Raw genomic sequence first — 23,344 nt, forward strand, 5'->3', positions numbered from 1 at the left:
GGTGTGAGCCACTGTGCCTGGCCTCTTGGGACTTTTAAAACCTATTCATGTTTTGCTGGACTTGGTGAAGTGTGGCTCTGAAAACCTTCAAGATAATGCTTTCCATCTGGTTTCCAACAGGTTACCTGATGATGTCCAGCATTTTTTGAAAAAATTTAAAGGGCCAAAATAGCATATAAGAATAAAGCCTTTTAGGGAATAGAATACACTCATTTCTAAATCCTTTTTAAAAAAATTCTTATTTTTATAAGAAATAGTATGATTCCTACTAGCTTAAAAGCATATTTTTGTTTTGATGGTCATGCCTGCTCCAGAGCCTGGTGAGCTGAACTAGCTTACCCTGTCCTCATGGGACACAGAATCACTGCTCCCCATTAGTAAGTTCCATGTATGCAGGATCCTCACCTTGGTCACCACGATCTCCCTAGTTGACAGAACATACACAGCCTGATACATGGCAGGCTCTTAATACTGATTTGCTGAGTAAGCAAATCAATCTGCATACCTAGGTGATTTCACTAGTATGTTTTTCTGCTGATTCTCCTAGAAAAAGTTCAATAAGACTTTTGCACAGGAGTGCCCTATTTGAGCAAAATATTCTCAAATTGTCAGTTTTTTGTTAGATTTGGAGTGAAGCATTGCCAAAGACTGAGCAGATGCTGACTAAACAACTGTTACTGTCGGCAAGTTCCAATCTGTTTAAAACATTCTTAATAATTAAATTCTTGGAGGGAATTCTAAAGTAGTGACTGAAAAATTATTTGCTGGGCACAATGCCATGCACGGTAGTTCCAGCTACTCGGGGGTTGAGGCACGAGGATCACTTGAGCCTGGACATTTGAGACCAGACTGGGCAATATAGCAAGACCTTGTCCCCGAAATATAAACAAAATAATTTGTATTTGGAGTTTGAATGCTACTATATACAGGAAAACATAGGAATTGAAGAGGAGAAAAATGGTGGTGTGGTTAAGAGCACTGGCTTGGGAGATGACAGTGCTGGGTACAAATCCTAGCTTGCCACTCCTAGTGCAAGTTAGACAACTTCCCTGAGTCTCAGTCTTTCCTATCTGTAAAATGAGGATAATATCCACTCAGAATTGTTGATGACTATATGTGAGATGCAAATCATACAGCACAGTGTCAGGTATAAAGCAAATGTTAAATAAAAATCTAGTTTTTTTTTTAACTTAATATGTTTTTTTTGAGACGGAGTCTCGTTCTGTTGCCCAGGCTGGAGTGCAGTGGTGTGATCTCGGCTCACTGAAACATTTGCTTCCTGGGTTCAAGTGATTCTCCTGCCTCAGCCTCCCAAGTAGCTGGGATTACAGGCATCTGCCACCATGCCTGGCTAATTTTTGCATTTTTAGTAGAGATGGGGTTTCACCACGTTGGCCAGGCTGGTCTCGAACTCCTGACCTCAGGTAATCCGCCTGCCTTGGCCTCCTAAAGTGCTGGGATTGCAGGGGTGAGCCACGGCACCCAGCCAAAAAACCAGATTTTATAACTCAGACATTACTCCTTTCCCTCTCCAATTTATTAGACTGTCAGGTGTCTGGCAGCAGGAACAGAAGTGGGCTTACTGGGGCCAATTCACATCATGGAAAACTTCATGAGAATTTTCATTAGACATCAAACCCCTGGTGAATCTGTGTGGCTCTAGAAAGCCTTTTGTGGAAGAAGAACTAGTCTTCATAAGCTTGTTTTGAGTACATTTCACTCAAGTTAACTTTTGTCAAATCAGTAAAGATGATGGGCACATGGACGGGACAGTACTCTGAAAAATCAGGGAGCATCAGAGAGGCTTAGAGCTTTTAATAGAAAGAACATCAGCAGTCTTTTGGGGGAAATTACTTCATTTTCAAAAAAAAAAAAAAAAAAAAAAGCAAATTAGGCCACTCAGAGGAGGCCAAACTCCATGCTGCTCCCAATATTTTGTGATGCAGTTCTGTGCCTTGGTTTAAGGAGGATCTGAAAGAATGCTATAGTGGCTAAATGAGACACAAGGTCTTAGTTGACTCTTAAAATTAATTTCTAATATTAGATGCAGGATTGACTTTAACTACAGGTTGTCATCACCCATTAAATTTATTAAAGTGCAAAAACAATAAGAAACAAGAACAACAAAAACAAAAGATAAAGGCAAAAAAAAAAAAAAAAGCCAAGGGCAAATTATGTTAAAGCATTGTAGGTGAAGGGCATTTATTTTTTGCCAAACAGTAGCCAAATTATCAAATAGCATTTATGATAAAAGTGTTGATAACAAAAGAGTTGAACACTATATAACTGCTATGGATTTTATAGTTCAGAAGTACAAACAACAGAATTAGAGCTAGACTTCTTGGAACAGAATCTATTTTGTTCAGCTGTCTGGGTGTTTTTAAAGAAGTATTTGTATAGGAGAAAAGAGAAACTTCTCTTCCATCAATGAAAAGTAAGGCTTCCATTTATGGCTTTCATTCGTCTTGGCTTTTTAAAATTATTATTGTTTCAGCCATTGAATTTGTGTTCCTTTTCTTTGAAAGAATGGAAAGAAAACAAGACTGGAATTAAGGTAATCATTAAAAAGAAAAAGATGGAACCCTGCATGATGTTTTATAAAACGGCAAAAAAGAAATATCTGGGAAACAACATATCCCAGCAAGTTAGAAAAACACCATTTTTTCTTTATTAGTACATGAAGAAATAGAAGATGATTATTAAGAAAAACTATTATATGTTATAAATGGCAAACAGTCCTTTCAGCCTGGACATCTGGAGGCTGAAAACCAGCCCACCTTCTGCTGTGATTTCTGCCAGGTGTTGGTAGCAAATGTCTCTCAATGAGTGTATAAAATAATGACTCCAAGGCACAGAGAACTTGCTCAGGAAGCCAATGATTTTTTGGAAATATCCAGGAAGAGTAATCTGAAGTCAAATGTCAGTAAAATAACTGTGATATGAATAATATAAAATATCATGTAGAAATAAGACAGTGTATCAGCCAACATTTTCTGTGGATTTTGCTAGTAACATGTATTCTTTTAAAAACCAAGGTATGCTTTACATAGAGTAAAACTCATTCACCTTTTTAAAAAGTGTACAGTTCTGCAAGGTTTTTTTTTCCTATTTCTTTACTTTTTTTTTTTTTTTTTTTTTTTTTTTTAAAAGACAGGGTCTTACTCTGCCACCCATGCTGGAGTGCAGTGGTGTGATCTTGGCTCATTGCAGCCTTCACCTCCTGGGATCAAATGATCCTCCCCACTCAACCTCCCGAGTAGCTGGGACTACAGGCGTGTGCTACCATGGCCAGCTAATTTTTTGTATTTTTGTAAAGACAGGGTTTTGCCATGTTGCCCAGGCTGATCTCGAACTCCTGGGGTCAAGGGATCTGCCTGCCTCAGCATCCCAAAGTGCTGGGACTACAGGCATGACCCACTGCAACCAGCCTGCAAGTTTTTACAAATGTATGCAGCCATGTTTCTCCACATCCTTATCAACACATGCTACTGTTTTTTTTTTTTTTTTTTTTTTTATAGCCAACCTAGTGGTTGTGAAGTGATATCTTGGATTAGTTTCAAACAAGTTTATTGAGATGTAATTTACATACCATAAAATTTAGCCATTTTAAAGTGTATAATTCAATGGTTTTTAATGTATTCAGAGTTGTGCAGCCTTCATAATTTAGGTTTTGAACTTATTCATCATCCCCAGAAGAAACCCATACCCACTGGCAGTCACTCCCCATTTTCCCCCAACCTCTCCAATCCTAGGCAACTATTAATATTAACCTATTATATGTCTCTATAGATTTGCCTGTTCTGTATACTTCATATAAATGAAATCATATGATGTGTCCTTTTGTAACTGGCTTTTTTCACTTAGCATAATATTTTCGAATTTCACTCATGTTGTAGCATGTATTGGTACTTCATTTCTTTGTACTGTGTAATATTCCATTGTATGGATATACCATATTTTGCTTATCCATTCATCAGTTGATGGACATTTGGGTTGTTTTCACTTTTTGGTAATTATGAATAATGCTACTTTGAACATTTGTTTACAAGTGTTTGTGGACGTATGTTTTCATTTCTCTTAAGCCTATTCCTAGGAGTGGAATTGCTAGATCATATGGTAACTCTATGTTTAATGTTTTGTGGAACTGCCAAACTATTTCCCAAAGTGGCTGCACTGTTTTACATTCCTATCAGCAGTATGTAAGGATTCTAATTTCTATACATCCTCATCAACACTTGTTAGGTTCTGTCTTTTTGATTATACCCATCCTAGTGGGTGTAAAGTGGTATCTTGTTATGGTTTTGATTTACACTTCTTTAATTAATAATGATGTTGAGCATATTTTCTTGTGCTTTTTAGCCATCTGCGTATTTTCTTTGGTGAAATATCTGTTCAGATCTTCAAAATTAGGATACTTGAAGATGCTTGCCTTCCTATTATGGAGCTTTAAGCTTGTATCTTGGATACAAGTGCTTTATCAGATATATATGATTTGCAAATATTTTCTTCCAGCCTGTGGTTTTCCTTTTCCTTTTTAATGGTGTTTCCTGAAGAGCAAAAGTTTTAATTTTGATGAAATTAATTAATCAATTTTCTTGCTTTCATGGATCATGCTTTGGTATTGTATCAAAGAACTCTTTGCCTGGCTTATGGTCATACAGATTTTTTTTCTGTCCTCTAGAAGTTTGACAGCTTTACAAACTCTTACATTTCAAACTATGATGTGCTTTCAGTTAAATTTTATGTAAAGTATGAGGTAAGGATCTAAGTTTATTTATTTTGGCATATGGAAATCCAATTATTCCAGCATCATTTGTTGAAAAGTCTATTCACATGTTCTCAGTATATATTTCCTTATTTCAAATTTCTATATCTTATTTATGTTGCCAAGTATAATAATTTTAGGATTATATTAAACAAAGGATACAAGTGGGAAGTTTGGAATTTATGTAGTTTATAATAGAGATTAAAAGTATGATTTTTGGAGTTGCAGAGTCCTGGGTTAAAATCTCAGTTCTACCTATGTGATTTTGGGTAATCTTACCAACTTTAAGCTTAACTTCTTTATCTGTAAACTGTGGATAATAATAGTACCTGCTTCATAGGCTTTGAACCTATGTATAGGGTTACTGTTAAGATTATAAAGACAAAGGGATGTGAATTGTTGGGTGTGTAGGACATACTCAATTATCAATAGTTACCACTATTATCTTTGAAAATGTGAAACCCTTGAATCTTACTCTTCATTCATGTTTTTCAATAATGATTACTGAGAGTGTATTCTTGTGATGGGCATTGTGACTCATATTGAGTTAAAAATAATAACAATACATCATCATTTATGTAAAGTGAAGCTCAAGGAAGAGGCTATTTTGTCTCCAGATGCTTTCCTAGAGCCAGTTTTAAACTGCTGGTGAGAACGTGAGGTGAGTGGCTGCTCAAGATAAAGTCAGTACTACTGAACCAGGCAAAATCTTGACATTGCTCTCAGGTCTGGGTTGTCCTGGTGTCTGTCAGGCTGCAGAGGCAAGAAGTAGTTAGACTTGCCTGCCTCCACATGGCTGTCCAGAGGCTATGCTGATTTAATTCCATGCTACAGCCAGAAGACTAGGGAAAGTTAAGTGGATAAATTCCTCTAGTCCTGGAATGCTAACTCGTCTGTGTCACACCCAATACTGTTGTGGCAGTTGCAGAAAGCAAACACAATGATTAAACACTTGACAATCAGGACTGGAGAAAAACAAGGCAGAGGCATGTCACTATCAAAATCTTACCTGGTGCGCCCACCAGACCATCAAGTAAGAGAATACTGCAATCCAGGTAATGGAGCCAAAGAACGTGATGGGAAAAAACTTCCTCGATGACTGAAAGACAACCAGGAAGAGTTGAGAATATCAGTGTTATCCATTGAGACTGATCTGGAAATCCAAAGCTAAAGCCACCATTGTAGCAATTTCTCTAGCATTTCCTGCATCTTAGTAGGATTGGCAATCAAAAGACCCTACTCACTCCTGATCAAGCTGGGACAGTAAGATTCTCCCTTGGAGATGTGAAATTGATAGGAACTGAGTGATCACAGTGCTGGCTCCTGAGATGGAAATCTTGAAGAGAATGTCTGTTAGTTCCTGCTATTAGATGTTTAGATTCCCTCTGCTCTTGTCCTTTCTAAGGCCTGGTTTTTTGGCCTTTCCTTCAATATTAACACCATATTCTCCCTCCTCCTTTTTCTTTCTTTTGCTCCAGAGTTTGTCAGAATCAGTTTCTATTGCTTGCAAACCATGAATCCTAACAATCCATATGCCAGGAAACCTATGGGATTAATTCCATTGAATAAGAAATGGGAAGGATCAGCAGGTTTAAAAATAGATTGACTCATCTTACAGTACCACAAATTATCAAGAAAGTCACACAGAAAAAGCCACCACCACAACTTTTATAGATTCTGGATGATGGCCATTCTCCAGGACACTGGAACCACCCATGGACCAGAGTAGACAGAGGCAGAAGCGCCCAATTGTACTGATTTCCACTGAGATGGCAGATCAGACATTGCTCTCAAGAATGTTTTCTCTCCTGTTCACCACCCCAAAATATATTATGTTCAATTCTGCTTCTAGAAGTAGACTTTATGCTATCTCAGGCATAAAGTGTGAGCATTTTTAAAGTTTCCTAGAAATAGCCAAAAAATCAGACACTTGAAATGCAGTGTTTCTTACCCAGTCCCACTACAGAGAAACCCAGGCTTGCACTGTAGTGGTGTTCTTTTGATGTCCTTTGTTGAAAAATTGGGGTCTTTTAAAAACACACTCAGACAGCACAATGCTGTCAGAGAGCCTCTTGCCTATTATTGCCAAACACTTTATTTGAAAGCTTTCCACGTTGAGAAACAATCCCACTTTTTGCTTTGATAATGCCATCCAATTTTATCTAGAGAAATGAATTTTAGAGTTGACTTGTATGAAAGTAATCTCAATTGTCCGAAAGGCTGACCTTGGGCAGTCACACAGAACACGTTCTGTCATGGCTTTTGAGAGCTCCATTAAAAGGAAAAGATAAACTCATACATGGTAATCTTTTGAATATCAATAATGATGAACACAGTCTCTATTGCTCCAAACCAGGCTTATGTTTTCTTTACTAATTTCAAGTTTTCAATATATATTTCTTATGATCATTTGCATGGTTCTGTTAAATTTTACCCCATACATTTCTTTAAATGATTGCTGTTTTGTGGGGCCGTTTGTTAGCTTGGATGACTGTAAGACCAAGCAGGTTTGATTAAATCGGGGGAGGGCATCAGGCCACAGTGAGTAGCCAAAACCTTACCCTCAAATGCTTTTCCCTGCTCCCTTTCTTTCTTAGAAGAAAAATATTTTGGACAAGGACTCAGACCCCTCCTAGGGACCTAAGCGCTTTAATGGGTAATGGGGGAAATAAAAAGGTAATCATTTTTTTAAAGTGGAGTTGGAGACCTTCGTTTTTTTTTTTTTTTTTAAGATGGAGTCTCACTCGGTCACCCAGGCTGGAGTGCAGTGGCATGATCTTGGCTCACTGCAACCTCTGCCTCCTGGGTCAAGCAATTCTCCTGCCTCAGCCTCCTGAGTAGCTGGAATTACAGGCACCTGCCACCACACCCCACTAATTTTTTTGTATTTTTTAGTAGAGGCAGGGTTTCACCATGTTGGCCAGGCTGGTTTCAAAATCCTGACCTCAGATGATCTGCCTGCTTCAGCCTCCCAAAGTGCTAGGATTACAGGTGTAAGCCACCGCACCCAGCCATTAGATCTTTACTTATAAAAGCAGCTTTTTTTTTTTTTTTTTTTTAAGCTAGGAAATCAGCCGGATTCTGGAGACCGAATTCCCTGAGCCAGTGCTAAGAGATGAAGTTTTCCAAGGCATTTAGCTTATTAAAGTTCCCATCCTTTTCATCTGGTCACAGTCACTGTTTCAGGATCCTACGTGCAATGAGGGTTTCATCTTCCATGGCTGTGCTCTGTTACAGGAAAGAGAAGAACCCTCTTGCCACGTGGGGTCACGTGTGTGATTAGAGCCCCAACCAATGGTTGATTCTGGGCAATGTATGAGGACAATGAAAAGCTTTCTACATGCCTTAAGGTGTGGCATAAGTACTAGATGTCCTAGGAGAGTCCTCATTTCATAGATTGCTCGTTTTCCAGGTTAGCTCATTTACTAAATGTATAATTATTATTTTAACTTTGTACCTCTGCCTGTTTATTCTTTGAGATAACTTCACAAGTCAGAATCAAATCATTTGAACATATTTCTCATCTGAAAAATATCATAACTGAGCTACAGAAAATTCCTAGCCAAAAGGTATAAAGCAAGGTATCAGAAAAGGAATTAAAGGAACTAAATTCAAATCAACATACTAGGGAAAACCTCTCTAAATCAATATTTGATGCCCATGATTCTTAATCAAGAAGCCAATTAGTAATTAATGGGCATCGAACCATACCTAATGTTGCATTAGGGGCTCAATGAAGAAGGCTAAAAATATTCTTTGTGAATTTTCAGTCTTCATCATAAGCTAGAGGTAGATAAAGTCTGAGAACTTACTCTGTACCCAGATCCTGAACTAGAGATAAAATTCAAACTAGGTCAGCCTGACTGTACCACACGTGCTCCCAATATCTAGATTATACTGACTCTTTCCTAAAGAAAAACAGGGCCAATAATGCTCAAAATATACCCCGCCATATACATAATGATCATGATCATGATCATCATACCAGGCTCTGCTCTGAATGTCAGAAAATTAAAAAAAGCATCAGGGAAGTAGAAACTAGCATTCCAGCTGTATGGCCATCTGCCTCGCCCAACCTCCCATGTTGTTCCTGCTTTGGAAGTATCAACGTTTCATTCATCAGCAGTTGGGCTAAGTGTTTCCTAACTGTTGAACTACTTTACCATTTCCATTTTCACACCCCAGGTAATCACTTCTTTCATTTTTCTTGGACCATTCCCCTTACTTGGACAGCATGGTCTCATTCCAGACATCTCTGCCCAGTAGCAACTGTACAGTCATTTAGTTACCAGTGTCATTGGAAGGAAGAAAATAGCTCTTGGAGCCAAGGTCTAACATGACAATTTATGGTTATAGTAATGGGGGTTCATCCTGCCATCTGCTGGGATGGACCTCATACTAATTAGCAAATAAGCAAATTGCATCCATGTGCTGGCCATTTTGTGCCCATGTTGTGGTTTACTTACATAATTGACAGTGGATGCTCTGATTAGAAGCTTTTGGTACATCAGAGTGATATCGGCTTGGCTTGGAAAAAGATGCTGGACATTAGCTGGTTGTACAAATTAGCTATATCCTTACTGATTTAAATTCAACAAATATTCACTCAGCATCTACTCTGTGTAAGGTTCTGGGACATATATTTAACAAAGACCCCCCCCCACCCCCCAAATCCTACTAAAGATTTAAAGTGTGGTCTCTGGATTAATATGACTGGTATTGAAATCTCTGCTCACAAATTACCAGCAATGTGACCTGAGACAAATTATTTAATCTCTTTAAGCTTAGGTTTCTTCATCTGTAAAATGGGAGAAATAACATCTAGTTGTTTTGAGGACTTCATGTACATAAAATGTCTAGCAAAGTACCTCGCACATAAGTGCTCAGATAATTATATTTGTTATTAGACAATATAGTCATGCCCTTGTATTCATGAGGGTTCCACCACCCCTGAGGATACCAAAATCTGCAGATGCCCAAATCCATAATATGAAATGGTGGAGTATTTACATATAACCTTTGTGAATCATCCCATATACTTTATTTATTTATTTGTTTGTTTGACAGAGTTTCCCTGTTGTTGCCCAGGCTGGAGTGCAATGGTGCAATCTTGGCTCACCATAACCTCCACCTTGTGGGTTCAAGTGTTTCTCCTACCTCAGCCTCCTGAGGTAGGGTTTACAGGCATGGGATTACAGGGATGTGCCACCATGCCCGGCTAATTTTTTGTATTTTTAGTAGAGACAGGGTTTCTCTATGTTGGTCAGGCTGGTCTCGAACTCCCAACCTCAGATGATCCTCCTGCCTCGGCTTCCCAAAGTGCTGGGACTACAGGTGTGAGATACCTCACCTGACTCCCATATACTTTAAATCAGCTCTAAATTATTTGAGGCCGAATAGAATGTAAATGCTATGTAAACAGTTGTTAAATTGTATTGTTTTTATCTGTATTTTTTACTGTTGTATTAAAATTTTTTTCCTGAATATTTTCAATCTGTGATTGTTTGAATGCAGAGCCTGCAGATATGAAGAGCCAACTGTATTCTCATTTTAGTTTTTAAGAGATAAAGAAACTGATAATTGGGGAAGTGAACATGACTGTGAAGACCTGGCCCAGAGTCTTGGCTTTGCGTCTTTCTAGCTGGGTGTGCTTGAATAAGTCACCAAACCTCTGTGGGTGTCAATTACTTTATCCTTGTTAGACCTTGCTTGGCACATAGTAGACACTGAATAGATACTTGATGAATCAATGAATAATAGAAATTGCAAACATCTAGCTGGGTTCTCAGGTTCCTTCCTAGTTCTAATGGGTCATGTTTTCATATCTCATTAGATGCATTCTTGTTTTGCAGGAGTATCTATCTTAGTCATGAGAGAAGATAACTTTTTCGGTCCTTAGTTTATTTTCAGTTTTCATCAAAGACTTGGTCCTCATTGAAGTTTATATTTTAGTTCTTTTACTTTGGAAACAAAGCCATTAATAAAACTGTAAGTGTAAAGCCCATATTAATTATGTGAGCTGAAATTATGCATGGTTCAACAAACACTGTCATACAATTTGCATATAAATGAAGCAGAAATAAAAGCTAGTGGGAGTACTATATACTCTGAAACTATAAGTATACATGAAAAAATCATGTTTTCCTTGTAATTACTGTCAAGGTTTGGTATGTTCATCTTCTTGGGCAATCAAAATCTACAGAAGAGGCAGAGCTGCCAGGCCCTAAGGAGGGGCAAATATGTATTAGTTAATTTTTCCCCTCTCTTTCCTCTCCGTATGTATTTTCTCAAGAGGTCCCTGTGGAAGCACATAAGTTCTATGGTGGACTGCAAAAATGGGCACAATACTTTGCTGCTCCTCTCATCAAGAGGTGAGGTCTATTTTTCCACTCTTCGAATCTGGGCTGGCCTTATGACTTGCTTTGACCAAAAGAATGTATTGGAAGTGACAGCGTGCAAATTTCAAACTAGATCTCAAGAGGGCTTTGTAGCTTTCATACTTGCTGCTCTCGGCACTTTGCCATTATGTGACTAAGTCCAGGCTAGCCTGCTTTGAGATAAGAGAGTATGTGGAGCAGAGACAAGCTGTTCCAGCTTCAATAGCCCTGTACCAACCAGCTCCCAGCCATTAACTGAGCACCACTAAGACCAGCAGCTGAACTGTCCAGCTGAGCACAACCCAAATTGCCAATTCACAGAATTATGGGCTAAAAAATGTCTTGTATTAAGCCACTAGGTTGGGGTGGTATGTTACAAAGCAAAAGATAACTGATACAAGGTCAAATCTAACAAAAATCTTCTAACTAAGCATGATCACTTACTGGATTTGTGTCAACTGGCATGGTTTCTTTCATTTGGCATATTGTATATGCAGAATACACCCATATATCTTCCAAACCAATATGCTTTGTGAATAAACTGGGACCGTCCTGGGTAATCTGGGATGTAGGATCACTTTAAATGTGCAGTAGCTTTTTTGATGGTTATCTCATGCTTTCCTTAATCACAGAATGTCATGGCTGGCAGGGAATCCAGAAACCTTCTGACCATTTATTCACAGAGGGGAAAAAATTCGGTCCAGAGTTGAGAAGTGCTTTTCCTAATGTTGTACAGCTAATCAGCTGTGGGGGGAAAACCCATCACAGTCAATGTGGTACAATGAAAATGATCTGGAGTCAGGGGACTTGGGTTCAAATCCAGCTTCTCTCACTAATACAGCTGTAAAGTCTTGCTCTGTGGTTATATGTGGCCATGCCTGGTTTCCTTTACTAGACTTAGAGTGCCTTAACAATATAAATTGTACATTTTTTGTCTTTGTATCTCTTTTTTTAAATACACTTTAAGTTCTTGGGTACATGCGCAGAATGTGCAGCTTTGTTACTTAGGTATACATGTGCCATGGTGGTTTGCTGCACCCATCAACCTGTCACCTACATTAGATATTTGTCCTAATGTTCTCCCTCCCCTAGCCCCCCACCCCTTGACAGGCTCCAGTGTGTGATGATCCCCTCCCCGGGTCCATGTTATCTCATTGTTCAACTCCCACTTATGAGTGAAAAAAATGCGGTGTTTAGTTTTCTGTTCTTGTGTTAGTTTGCTGACAATGATAGTTTCCAGCTTCATCCATGTCCCTGCAAAGGACATGAACTCATCCTTTTTTATGGCTGCATAATACTCCATGGTGTATATGTGGCACATTTTCTTTATCCAGTCTACCACTGATGGACATGTGGGTTGGTTCCAAGTCTTTGCTATTGTGAATAGTGCCACAATAAACATATGTGTACATGTGTCTTTATAGTAGAATGATTTATAATCCTTTGGGTATATACCCAGTAATGAGATTGCTGGGTCAAATGGTATTTCTAATTCTAGATCCTTGAGGAATTGCCACACTGTCTTCCACAATGGTTGAACTAACTTACACCCCCACCAACAGTGTAAAAGTGTTCCTATTTCACCACATCCTCTCCAGCACCTGTTGTTTCCTGACTTTTTAATGATCACCATTCTAACTGGTATGAGATAGTATCTCATTGTGGTTTTGATTTGCATTTCTCTAATGACCAGTGATGATGAGCTTTTTTTTCATGTTTGCTGGCTGCATAAATGTCGTCTTTTGAGAAGTGTGTCTGTTCATATCCTTTGCCCACTTTTTGATGGGGTTGTTTTTTTCTTGTAAATTTAAGTTCTTTGAAGATTCTGGATATTAGCCGTTTGTCAGATGGATAGATTGCAAAATTTTTCTCCCATTCTGTAGGTTGCCTATTCACTCTAATGGTAGTTCCTTTTGCTGTGCAGAAGCTCTTTAGTTTAATGAGATCCCAGTTGCCAATTTTGGCTTTTGTTGCCATTGCTTTTCGTGTTTTAGACATGAAGTCTTTCCTAATGCCTATGTCCAGAATGGTATTGCCTAGGTTTTCTTCTAGGATTTTTACGGTTTTAGGTCTTAAGGTGGAGTCTTTAATCCATCTTGAGTTAATTTTTGTGTAAGGTGTAAGGAAAGGGTCCAGTTTAAGTTTTCTGCATGTGACTAGCCAATTTTCCCAGCACCATTGATTACATAGGGAATCCTTTCCCCATTTCTTGTTTTTGTCAGGTTTGTCAAAGATTAGATGATTGTAGATGTGTGGTGTTATTTCTGAGGCCTCTGTTCTGTTCCATTGGTCTATATACCTGTTGTGGTACCAGTACCATGCTGTTTTGGTTACGGTAGCCTAGTTTGGAGTCAGGTAGTGTGATGCCTCCAGCTTTGTTCTTTGCTTAGGATTGCCTTGGCTATACAGGCTCTTTTTTGGTTCCATATGAACTTTAAAGCAGTTTTTCCAATTCTGTGAAGAAAGTCAGTGGTAGCTTGATGGGGACAGCATTGAATCTATAAATTACTTTGGAAAGTATGGCCATTTTCATGATAGTGATTCTTCCTATCCATGAGCAGGCATGTTGTTCCATTTATTTGTGTCCTCTCTTATTTCCTTGAGCAGTGGTTTGCAGTTCTCCTTGAAGAGGTCCTTCACATCCCTTGTAAGTTGTATTCCTAGGCATTTTATTCTCTTTGTAGCAGTTGTGAATGAGAGTTCACTCATGATTTGGCTCTCTGTTTGTCTTTTTTTTTTTTATCTGATTCTAAGAAATTTTCTTTTTTTTTAATTTTTTATTTATTTATTTTTTTTTATTACACTTTAAGTTTTAGGGTACATGTGCACATTGTGCAGGTTAGTTACATATGTATACATGTGCCATGCTGGTGTGCTGCACCCACTAACGTGTCATCTGTCATTAGGTATATCTCCCAATGCTATCCCTCCCCCCTCCCCCGACCCCACCACAGTCTCCAGAGTGTGATATTCCCCTTCCTGTGTCCATGTGATCTCATTGTTCAATTCCCACCTATGAGTGAGAATATGCGGCGTTTGGTTTTTTGTTCTTGCGATAGTTTACTGAGAATGATGGTTTCCAATTTCATCCATGTCCCTACAAAGGACATGAACTCATCATTTTTTATGGCTGCATAGTATTCCATGGTGTATATGTGCCACATTTTCTTAATCCAGTCTATCATTGTTGGACATTTGGGTTGGTTCCAAGTCTTTGCTATTGTGAATAATGCCACAATAAACATACGTGTGCATGTGTCTTTATAGCAGCATGATTTATAGTCATTTGGGTATATACCCAGTAATGGGATGGCTGGGTCAAATGGTATTTCTAGTTCTAGATCCCTGAGGAATAGCCACACTGACTTCCACAATGGTTGAACTAGTTTACAGTCCCACCAACAGTGTAAAAGTGTTCCTATTTCTCCACATCCTCTCCAGCACCTGTTGTTTCCTGACATTTTAATGATTGCCATTCTAACTGGTGTGAGATGATATCTCATAGTGGTTTTGATTTGCATTTCTCTGATGGCCAGTGATGATGAGCATTTTTTCATGTGTTTTTTGGCTGCATAAATGTCTTCTTTTGAGAAGTGTCTGTTCATGTCCTTTGCCCACTTTTTGATGGGGTTGTTTGTTTTTTTCTTGTAAATTTGTTTGAGTTCACTGTAGATTCTGGATATTAGCCCTTTGTGAGATGAGTAGGTTGCGAAAATTTTCTCCCATGTTGTAGGTTGCCTGTTCACTCTGATGGTAGTTTCTTTTGCTGTGCAGAAGCTCTTTAGTTTAATTAGATCCCATTTGTCAATTTTGTCTTTTGTTGCCATTGCTTTTGGTGTATTGGACATGAAGTCCTTGCCCATGCCTATGTCCTGAATGGTAATGCCTAGGTTTTCTTCTAGGGTTTTTATGGTTTTAGGTCTAACGTTTAAATCTTTAATCCATCTTGAATTGATTTTTGTATAAGGTGTAAGGAAGGGATCCAGTTTCAGCTTTCTACATATGGCTAGCCAGTTTTCCCAGCACCATTTATTAAATAGGGAATCCTTTCCCCATTGCTTGTTTTTCTCAGGTTTGTCAAAGATCAGATAGTTGTAGATATGTGGCATTATTTCTGAGGGCTCTGTTCTGTTCCATTGATCTATATCTCTGTTTTGGTACCAGTACCATGCTGTTTTGGTGACTGTAGCCTTGTAGTATAGTTTGAAGTCAGGTAGTGTGATGCCTCCAGCTTTGTTCTTTTGGCTTAGGATTGACTTGGAGATGCGGGCTCTTTTTTGGTTCCATATGAACTTTAAAGTAGTTTTTTCCAATTCTGTGAAGAAAGTCATTGGTAGCTTGATGGGGATGGCATTGAATCTGTAAATTACCTTGGGCAGTATGGCCATTTTCACAATATTGATTCTTCCTACCCATGAGCATGGAATGTTCTTCCATTTGTTTGTGTCCTCTTTTATTTCCTTGAGCAGTGGTTTGTAGTTCTCCTTGAAGAGGTCCTTCACATCCCTTGTAAGTTGGATTCCTAGGTATTTTATTCTTTTTGAAGCAATTGTGAATGGGAGTTCACTCATGATTTGGCTCTCTGTTTGTCTGTTGTTGGTGTATAAGAATGCTTGTGATTTTTGTACATTGATTTTGTATCCTGAGACTTTGCTGAAGTTGCTTATCAGCTTAAGGAGATTTTGGGCTGAGACGATGGGGTTTTCTAGATAAACAATCATGTCGTCTGCAAACAGGGACAATTTGACTTCCTCTTTTCCTAATTGAATACCCTTTATTTCCTTCTCCTGCCTGATTGCCCTGGCCAGAACTTCCAACACTATGTTGAATAGGAGTGGTGAGAGAGGGCATCCCTGTCTTGTGCCAGTTTTCAAAGGGAATGCTTCCAGTTTTTGCCCATTCGGTATGATACTGGCTGTGGGTTTGTCATAGATAGCTCTTATTATTTTGAAATACGTCCCATCAATACCTAATTTATTGAGAGTTTTTAGCATGAAGGGTTGTTGAATTTTGTCAAAGGCTTTTTCTGCATCTATTGAGATAATCATGTGGTTTTTGTCTTTGGCTCTGTTTATATGCTGGATTACATTTATTGATTTGCGTATATTGAACCAGCCTTGCATCCCAGGGATGAAGCCCACTTGATCATGGTGGATAAGCTTTTTGATGTGCTGCTGGATTTGGTTTGCCAGTATTTTATTGAGGATTTTTGCATCAATGTTCATCAAGGATATTGGTGTAAAATTCTCTTTTTTGGTTGTGTCTCTGCCCAGCTTTGGTATCAGAATGATGCTGGCCTCATAAAATGAGTTAGGGAGGATTCCCTCTTTTTCTATTGATTGGAATAGTTTCAGAAGGAATGGTACCAGCTCCTCCTTGTACCTCTGGTAGAATTCGGCTGTGAATCCATCTGGTCCTGGACTCTTTTTGGTTGGTAAACTATTGATTATTGCCACAATTTCAGAGCCTGTTATTGGTCTATTCAGAGATTCAACTTCTTCCTGGTTTAGTCTTGGGAGAGTGTATGTGTCGAGGAATTTATCCATTTCTTCTAGATTTTCTAGTTTATTTGTGTAGAGGTGTTTGTAGTATTCTCTGATGGTAGTTTGTATTTCTGTGGGATCGGTGGTGATATCCCCTTTATCATTTTTTATTGTGTCTATTTGATTCTTCTCTCTTTTTTTCTTTATTAGTCTTGCTAGTGGTCTATCAATTTTGTTGATCCTTTCAAAAAACCAGCTCCTGGATTCATTGATTTTTTGAAGGGTTTTTTGTGTCTCTATTTCCTTCAGTTCTGCTCTGATTTTAGTTATTTCTTGCCTTCTGCTAGCTTTTGAATGTGTTTGCTCTTGCTTTTCTAGTTCTTTTAATTGTGATGTTAGGGTGTCAATTTTGGATCTTTCCTGCTTTCTCTTGTAGGCATTTAGTGCTATAAATTTCCCTCTACACACTGCTTTGAATGTGTCCCAGAGATTCTGGTATGTGGTGTCTTTGTTCTCGCTGGTTTCGAAGAACATCTTTATTTCTGCCTTCATTTCATTATGTACCCAGTAGTCATTCAGGAGCAGGTTGTTCAGTTTCCATGTAGTTGAGCGGCTTTGAGTGAGATTCTTAATCCTGAGTTCTAGTTTGATTGCACTGTGGTCTGGGAGATAGTTTGTTATAATTTCTGTTCTTTTACATTTGCTGAGGAGAGCTTTACTTCCAACTATGTGGTCAATTTTGGAATAGGTGTGGTGTGGTGCTGAAAAAAATGTATATTCTGTTGATTTGGGGTGGAGAGTTCTGTAGATGTCTATTAGGTCCGCTTGGTGCAGAGCTGAGTTCAATTCCTGGGTATCCTTGTTGACTTTCTGTCTCGTTGATCTGTCTAATGTTGACAGTGGGGTGTTAAAGTCTCCCATTATTAATGTGTGGGAGTCTAAGTCTCTTTGTAGGTCACTCAGGACTTGCTTTATGAATCTGGGTGCTCCTGTATTGGGTGCATAAATATTTAGGATAGTTAGCTCCTCTTGTTGAATTGATCCCTTTACCATTATGTAATGGCCTTCTTTGTCTCTTTTGATCTTTGTTGGTTTAAAGTCTGTTTTATCAGAGACTAGGATTGCAACCCCTGCCTTTTTTTGTTTTCCATTGGCTTGGTAGATCTTTCTCCATCCTTTTATTTTGAGCCTATGTGTGTCTCTGCACGTGAGATGGGTTTCCTGAATACAGCACACTGATGGGTCTTGACTCTTTATCCAACTTGCCAGTCTGTGTCTTTTAATTGCAGAATTTAGTCCATTTATATTTAAAGTTAATATTGTTATGTGTGAATTTGATCCTGTCATTATGATGTTAGCTGGTGATTTTGCTCGTTAGTTGATGCAGTTTCTTCCTAGTCTTGATGGTCTTTACATTTTGGCATGATTTTGCAGCGGCTGGTACCGGTTGTTCCTTTCCATGTTTAGTGCTTCCTTCAGGAGCTCTTTTAGGGCAGGCCTGGTGGTGACAAAATCTCTCAGCATTTGCTTGTCTATAAAGTATTTTATTTCTCCTTCACTTATGAAGCTTAGTTTGCCTGGATATGAAATTCTGGGTTGAAAATTCTTGTCTTTAAGAATGTTGAATATTGGCCCCCACTCTCTTCTGGCTTGTAGGGTTTCTGCCGAGAGATCCGCTGTTAGTCTGATGGGCTTTCCTTTGAGGGTAACCTGACCTTTCTCTCTGGCTGCCCTTAACATTTTTTCCTTCATTTCAACTTTGGTGAATCTGACAATTATGTGTCTTGGAGTTGCTCTTCTTGAGGAGTATCTTTGTGGCATTCTCTGTATTTCCTGAATCTGAACGTTGGCCTGCCTTGCTAGATTGGGGAAGTTCTCCTGGATAATATCCTGCAGAGTGTTTTCCAACTTGGTTCCATTCTCCCCATCACTTTCAGGTACACCAATCAGACGTAGATTTGGTCTTTTCACATAGTCCCATATTTCTTGGAGGCTTTGCTCATTTCTTTTGATTCTTTTTTCTCTAAACTTCCCTTCTCGCTTCATTTCATTCATTTCATCTTCCATTGCTGATACCCTTTCTTCCAGTTGATGGCATCGGCTCCTGAGGCTTCTGCATTCTTCACGTAGTTCTCGAGCCTTGGTTTTCAGCTCCATCAGCTCCTTTAAGCACTTCTCTGTATTGGTTATTCTAGTTATACATTCTTCTAAATTTTTTTCAAAGTTTTCAACTTCTTTGCCTTTGGTTTGAATGTCCTCCCGTAGCTCAGAGTAATTTGATCGTCTGAAGCCTTCTTCTCTCAGCTCGTCAAAATCATTCTCCATCCAGCTTTGTTCCGTTGCTGGTGAGGAACTGCGTTCCTTTGGAGGAGGAGAGGCACTCTGCTTTTTAGAGTTTCCAGTTTTTCTGTTCTGTTTTTTCCCCATCTTTGTGGTTTTATCTACTTTTGGTCTTTGATGATGGTGATGTACAGATGGGTTTTCGGTGTAGATGTCCTTTCTGGTCGTTAGTTTTCCTTCTAACAGACAGGACCGTCAGCTGCAGGTCTGTTGGAATACCCTGCAGTGTGAGGTGTCAGTGTGCCCCTGCTGGGGGGTGCCTCCCAGTTAGGCTGCTCGGGGGTCAGGGGTCAGGGACCCAATTGAGGAGGCAGTCTGCCCGTTCTCAGATCTCCAGCTGCGTGCTGGGAGAACCACTGCTCTCTTCAAAGCTGTCAGACAGGGACACTTAAGTCTGCAGAGGTTACTGCTGTCTTTTTGTTTGTCTGTGCCCTGCCCCCAGAGGTGGAGCCTACAGAGGCAGGCAGGCCTCCTTGAGCTGTGGTGGGCTCCACCCAGTTCGAGCTTCCCGGCTGCTTTGTTTACCTAAGCAAGCCTGGGCAATGGCGGGCGCCCCTCCCCCAGCCTCGTTGCCGCCTTGCAGTTTGATCTCAGACTGCTGTGCTAGCAATCAGCGAGATTCCGTGGGCGTAGGACCCTCTGAGCCAGGTGTGGGATATAGTCTCCTGGTGCGCCGTTTTTCAAGCCGGTCTGAAAAGCGCAATATTCGGGTGGGAGTGACCCGATTTTCCAGGTGCCGTCTGTCACCCCTTTCTTTGACTCGGAAAGGGAACTCCCTGACCCTTGCGCTTCCCAGGTGAGGCAATGCCTCGCCCTGCTTCGGCTCGCGCACGGTGCACGCACACACTGGCCTGCGCCCACTGTCTGGCACTCCCTAGTGAGATGAACCCGGTACCTCAGATGGAAATGCAGAAATCACCCGTCTTCTGCGTCGCTCACGCTGGGAGCTGTAGACCGGAGCTGTTCCTATTCGGCCATCTTGGCTCCTCCCTTCTCTCTGTTTGTCTTTTATTGGTGTATATGAATGCTTGTGATTTTTTGCACATTGATATTGTATCCTGAGGTGCTGAAGTTGCTTATCAGCTTAAGGAGATTTTGGGCTGGGACAATAGAGTTTTCTAAATATACAATCATGTCATCTGCAAACAGAGACAATTTGACTTCCTCTTTTCCTAATTGAACACCCTTTGTTTCTTTCTCTTGCCTGATTGCCCTGGCCAGAACTTCCAATACTATATTGAATAGGAGTGATGAGAGAGGGCATCCTTGTCTTGTGCCAGTTTTCAAAGGGAATGCTTCCAGTTTTTGCCCATTCAGTACGATATTGGCTATGGGTTTGCCATAAACAGCTCTTATTGAGATACGTTCAATCAGTGCCTACTTTATTGAGAATTTTTTAGGATGAAGGGTGTTGAATTTTTGTTGAAGGACTTTTCTGCATCTGTTGAAATAATCACGTGCTTTTTGTCATTGGTTCTGTGTATGTGATGGATTACATTTATTGATTTGCATATGTTGAACCAGCCTTGCATCCCAGGGATGAAGCCACCTTGATGGTGGTGCATAAGCTTTTTGATGTGCTGCTGGATTTGGTTTGCCAGTATTTTATTGGGGATTTTCGCATCGATGTTCATCAGGGATACTGGCCTGAAATTTTCTTTTTTTGTTGTGTCTCTGGCAGGTTTTGGTATCAGGATGATGCTGGCCTTGTAAAATGAGTTAGGGAGGATCCCCTCTTTTTCTATTGTTTGAAATGGTTTCAGAAGGAATGGTACCAGCTCCTCTTTGTACCTCTGGTAGAATTTGGCAGTGAATTCATCTGGTTCTGGACTTTGGTAGGCTATTAATTACTGCCTCAATTTCAGAAGTTGTTATTGGTCTATTCAGGGATTCGACTTCTTCCTGGTTTAGTCTTGGGAGGGTGTATGTGTCCAGGAATTTATCCATTTCTTCTAGATTTTCTGGTTTATTTGCATAGAGGTGTTTATAGTATTCTCTGATGGTAGTTTGTATTTCTGTGGGATCAGTGGTGATATCCCCTTTATCATTTTTTATTGCATCCATTTGATTCTTCTCTCTTTTCTTTATTAGTCTGGCTAGCAGTCTATCCATTTTTTGATCTTTTCAAGAAACCAGCTCCTGGATTCATTGATTTTTTTTTTTTTGAAGGGTTTTTCATGTCTCTATCTCCTTCAGTTCTGCTCTGATCTTAGTTATTTCTTGTCTTCTGCTATCTTTTGAATTTGTTTGCTCTTGCTTCTCTAGTTCTTTTAATTTTGATGTTAGGGTGTCGATTTTAGATCTTTTCTGCTTTCTCTTGTGGGCATTTAGTGCTATAAATTTCCCTCTACACAGTGCTTTAAATGTGTCCCAGAGATTGTACGTTGTGTTGTTAGTTCTCATTGGTTTCAAAGAACATCTTTGTTTCTGCCTTCATTTCGTTTTTTACCCAGTAGTCATTCAGGAGCATGTTGTTCAATTTCCATGTAGTTGTGCAGTTTTGAGTGAGTTTCTTAATCCTGAGTTCTAATTTGATTGCACTATGGTCTGAGAGACTGTTTGTTATGATTTCCATTCTTTTGCATTTGCTGAGGAGTGTTTTACTTCCAATTATGTGGTCCATTTTAGAATAAGTGCGATGAGGTGCTGAGAAGAATGTATATTCTTCTGATTTGGGGTAGAGAGTTCTGTAGATGTTTATTAGGTCTGCTTGTTCCAGCGCTGAGTTCAAGTCCTGGATATCCTTGCTAATTTTCTGTCTCATTGATGTGTCTAATATTGACAGTGGGGTATTAAATCTCCCACTATTATTGTGTGGGAGTGTAAGTCTCTTTGTGGATCTCTAAGAACTTGCCTTATGAACTTGGATGCTCCTGAATGGTGTGCATATATATTTAGGATAGTTGGCTCTTCTTGTTGCATTGATCCCTTTACCATTAGGTAATGGCCTTCTTTCTCTTTTGATCTTTGTTGGTTTAAAGTCTGTTTTGTCGGAGACTAGGATTGCAACCCCTGCTTTTTTTTTTTTTCTTTCTATTTGCTTGGTAAATCTTCCTCCATCCCTTTATTTTAAGCCTATGTTTGTCTTTGCATGTGAGGTGGGTCTCCTGAATACAGCCACTGATGGGTCTTGACGCTTATCCAATTTGCCAGTCTGTGTCTTTTAATTAGGGAATTTATCACATTTACATTTAAGGTTAATATTGTTATGTGTGAATTTGATTCTGTCATTATGATGCTAACTGGTTATTTTGCCTGTTAGTTGATGTTGTTTCTTTATAGTGTTGATGGTCTTTACAATTTGGTATGTTTTTGCAGTGGCTGGTTCCAGTTGTTCCTCTCCATGTTTAGTGTTTCCTTCAGGAGCTCTTGTAAGGCAGGCCTGGTGGTGACAAAATCTCTCGGCATTTGCTTGTCTGTAAAGGAGTTTATTTCTCCTTCACTTACGAAACTGAGTTTGCCTGGATATGAAATTCTGGGTTGAAAATTCTTTTAAGAATGTTGAATATTGGCCCCCACTCTCTTCTAGCTTGTAAGGTTCCTGCAGAGAGATCTGCTGTTGGTCTGATGGGCTTCCCTTTGTGGGTAACCTGACCTTTCTCTCTGGCTGCCCTTAACAATTTTTCCTTCATTTCAACTTTGGTGAATCTGATGATTATGTGTCTTGGGGTTGCTCTTCTCAAGGAGTATCTTTGTGGTGTTCTCTGTATTTCCTGAATTTGAACGTTGGCCTGTCTTGCTAGGTTGGGGAACTTCTCCTGGATGATATCCCGAAAAGTGTTTTCCAACTTGGTTCCATTCTCTCCATCACTTTCAGGTACACCAATCAGAGGTGGATTTGATCTTTTCACATAGTCCCATATTTCTTGGAGGCTTTGTTTGATCCCTTTCATCCTTTTTTCTCTAATCTTGTCTTCTCACTTCATTTCATTAAGTTGATCTTCACTTTCTGATATCCTTTCTTCTGCTTGATTGATTCAGCTATTTATAGTTGTGTATGCTTCACAGAATTCTCATGCTGTGTTTTTCAGCTCCATCAGGTCATTTATGTTCTTCTCGAAACTGGTTATTCCAGTTAGCAATTCGCGTAACCTTTTTTCAAGGTTCTTAGCTTCCTTGCATTGGGTTAGAACATGCTGCTTTAGCTCAGAGGAGTTTGTTATTACCCACTTTCTGAAGCTTACTTCTGTCGAGTCATGAAACTCATTCTCCATCCATTTTTGTTCCATTGCTGGTGAGGAGTTGTCATCCTTGAGAAGAGGTGTTCAGGTTTTTGGAATTTTCAGCCTTTTTGCGCGGGTTTCTCCCCATCTTAGTGAATTTATCTACCGTCGGTCTTTGTAGTCAGTGACCTTCGGATGGGGTCTCTGAGTAGATGT

The 23,344-nt window shown here is 39.5% G+C and overlaps 1 protein-coding gene and 1 long non-coding RNA gene across 8 annotated transcripts in view; one reads left to right on the plus strand and one right to left on the minus strand.

The window, feature by feature from the left end:
* The window catches only part of LOC105375988 (uncharacterized), a 93,057-nt gene that overhangs the window by 52,173 nt on the left and 17,540 nt on the right, over positions 1 to 23,344 (plus strand). The window lies entirely within an intron of this gene.
* The window catches only part of SLC24A2 (solute carrier family 24 member 2), an 800,438-nt gene that overhangs the window by 14,820 nt on the left and 762,274 nt on the right, over positions 1 to 23,344 (minus strand). For all 5 annotated transcript variants that reach the window (XM_017014592.2, NM_001193288.3, NM_020344.4 and 2 more), the window contains one exon: positions 5,775 to 5,864. In XM_017014592.2, coding sequence (XP_016870081.1) covers positions 5,775 to 5,864 — 90 coding nt within the window. The remainder of the gene's footprint in view (positions 1 to 5,774; positions 5,865 to 23,344) is intronic.

Source organism: Homo sapiens, chromosome 9, assembly GCF_000001405.40.
Source record: "Homo sapiens chromosome 9, GRCh38.p14 Primary Assembly".
Lineage (NCBI taxonomy): Eukaryota > Metazoa > Chordata > Mammalia > Primates > Hominidae > Homo > Homo sapiens.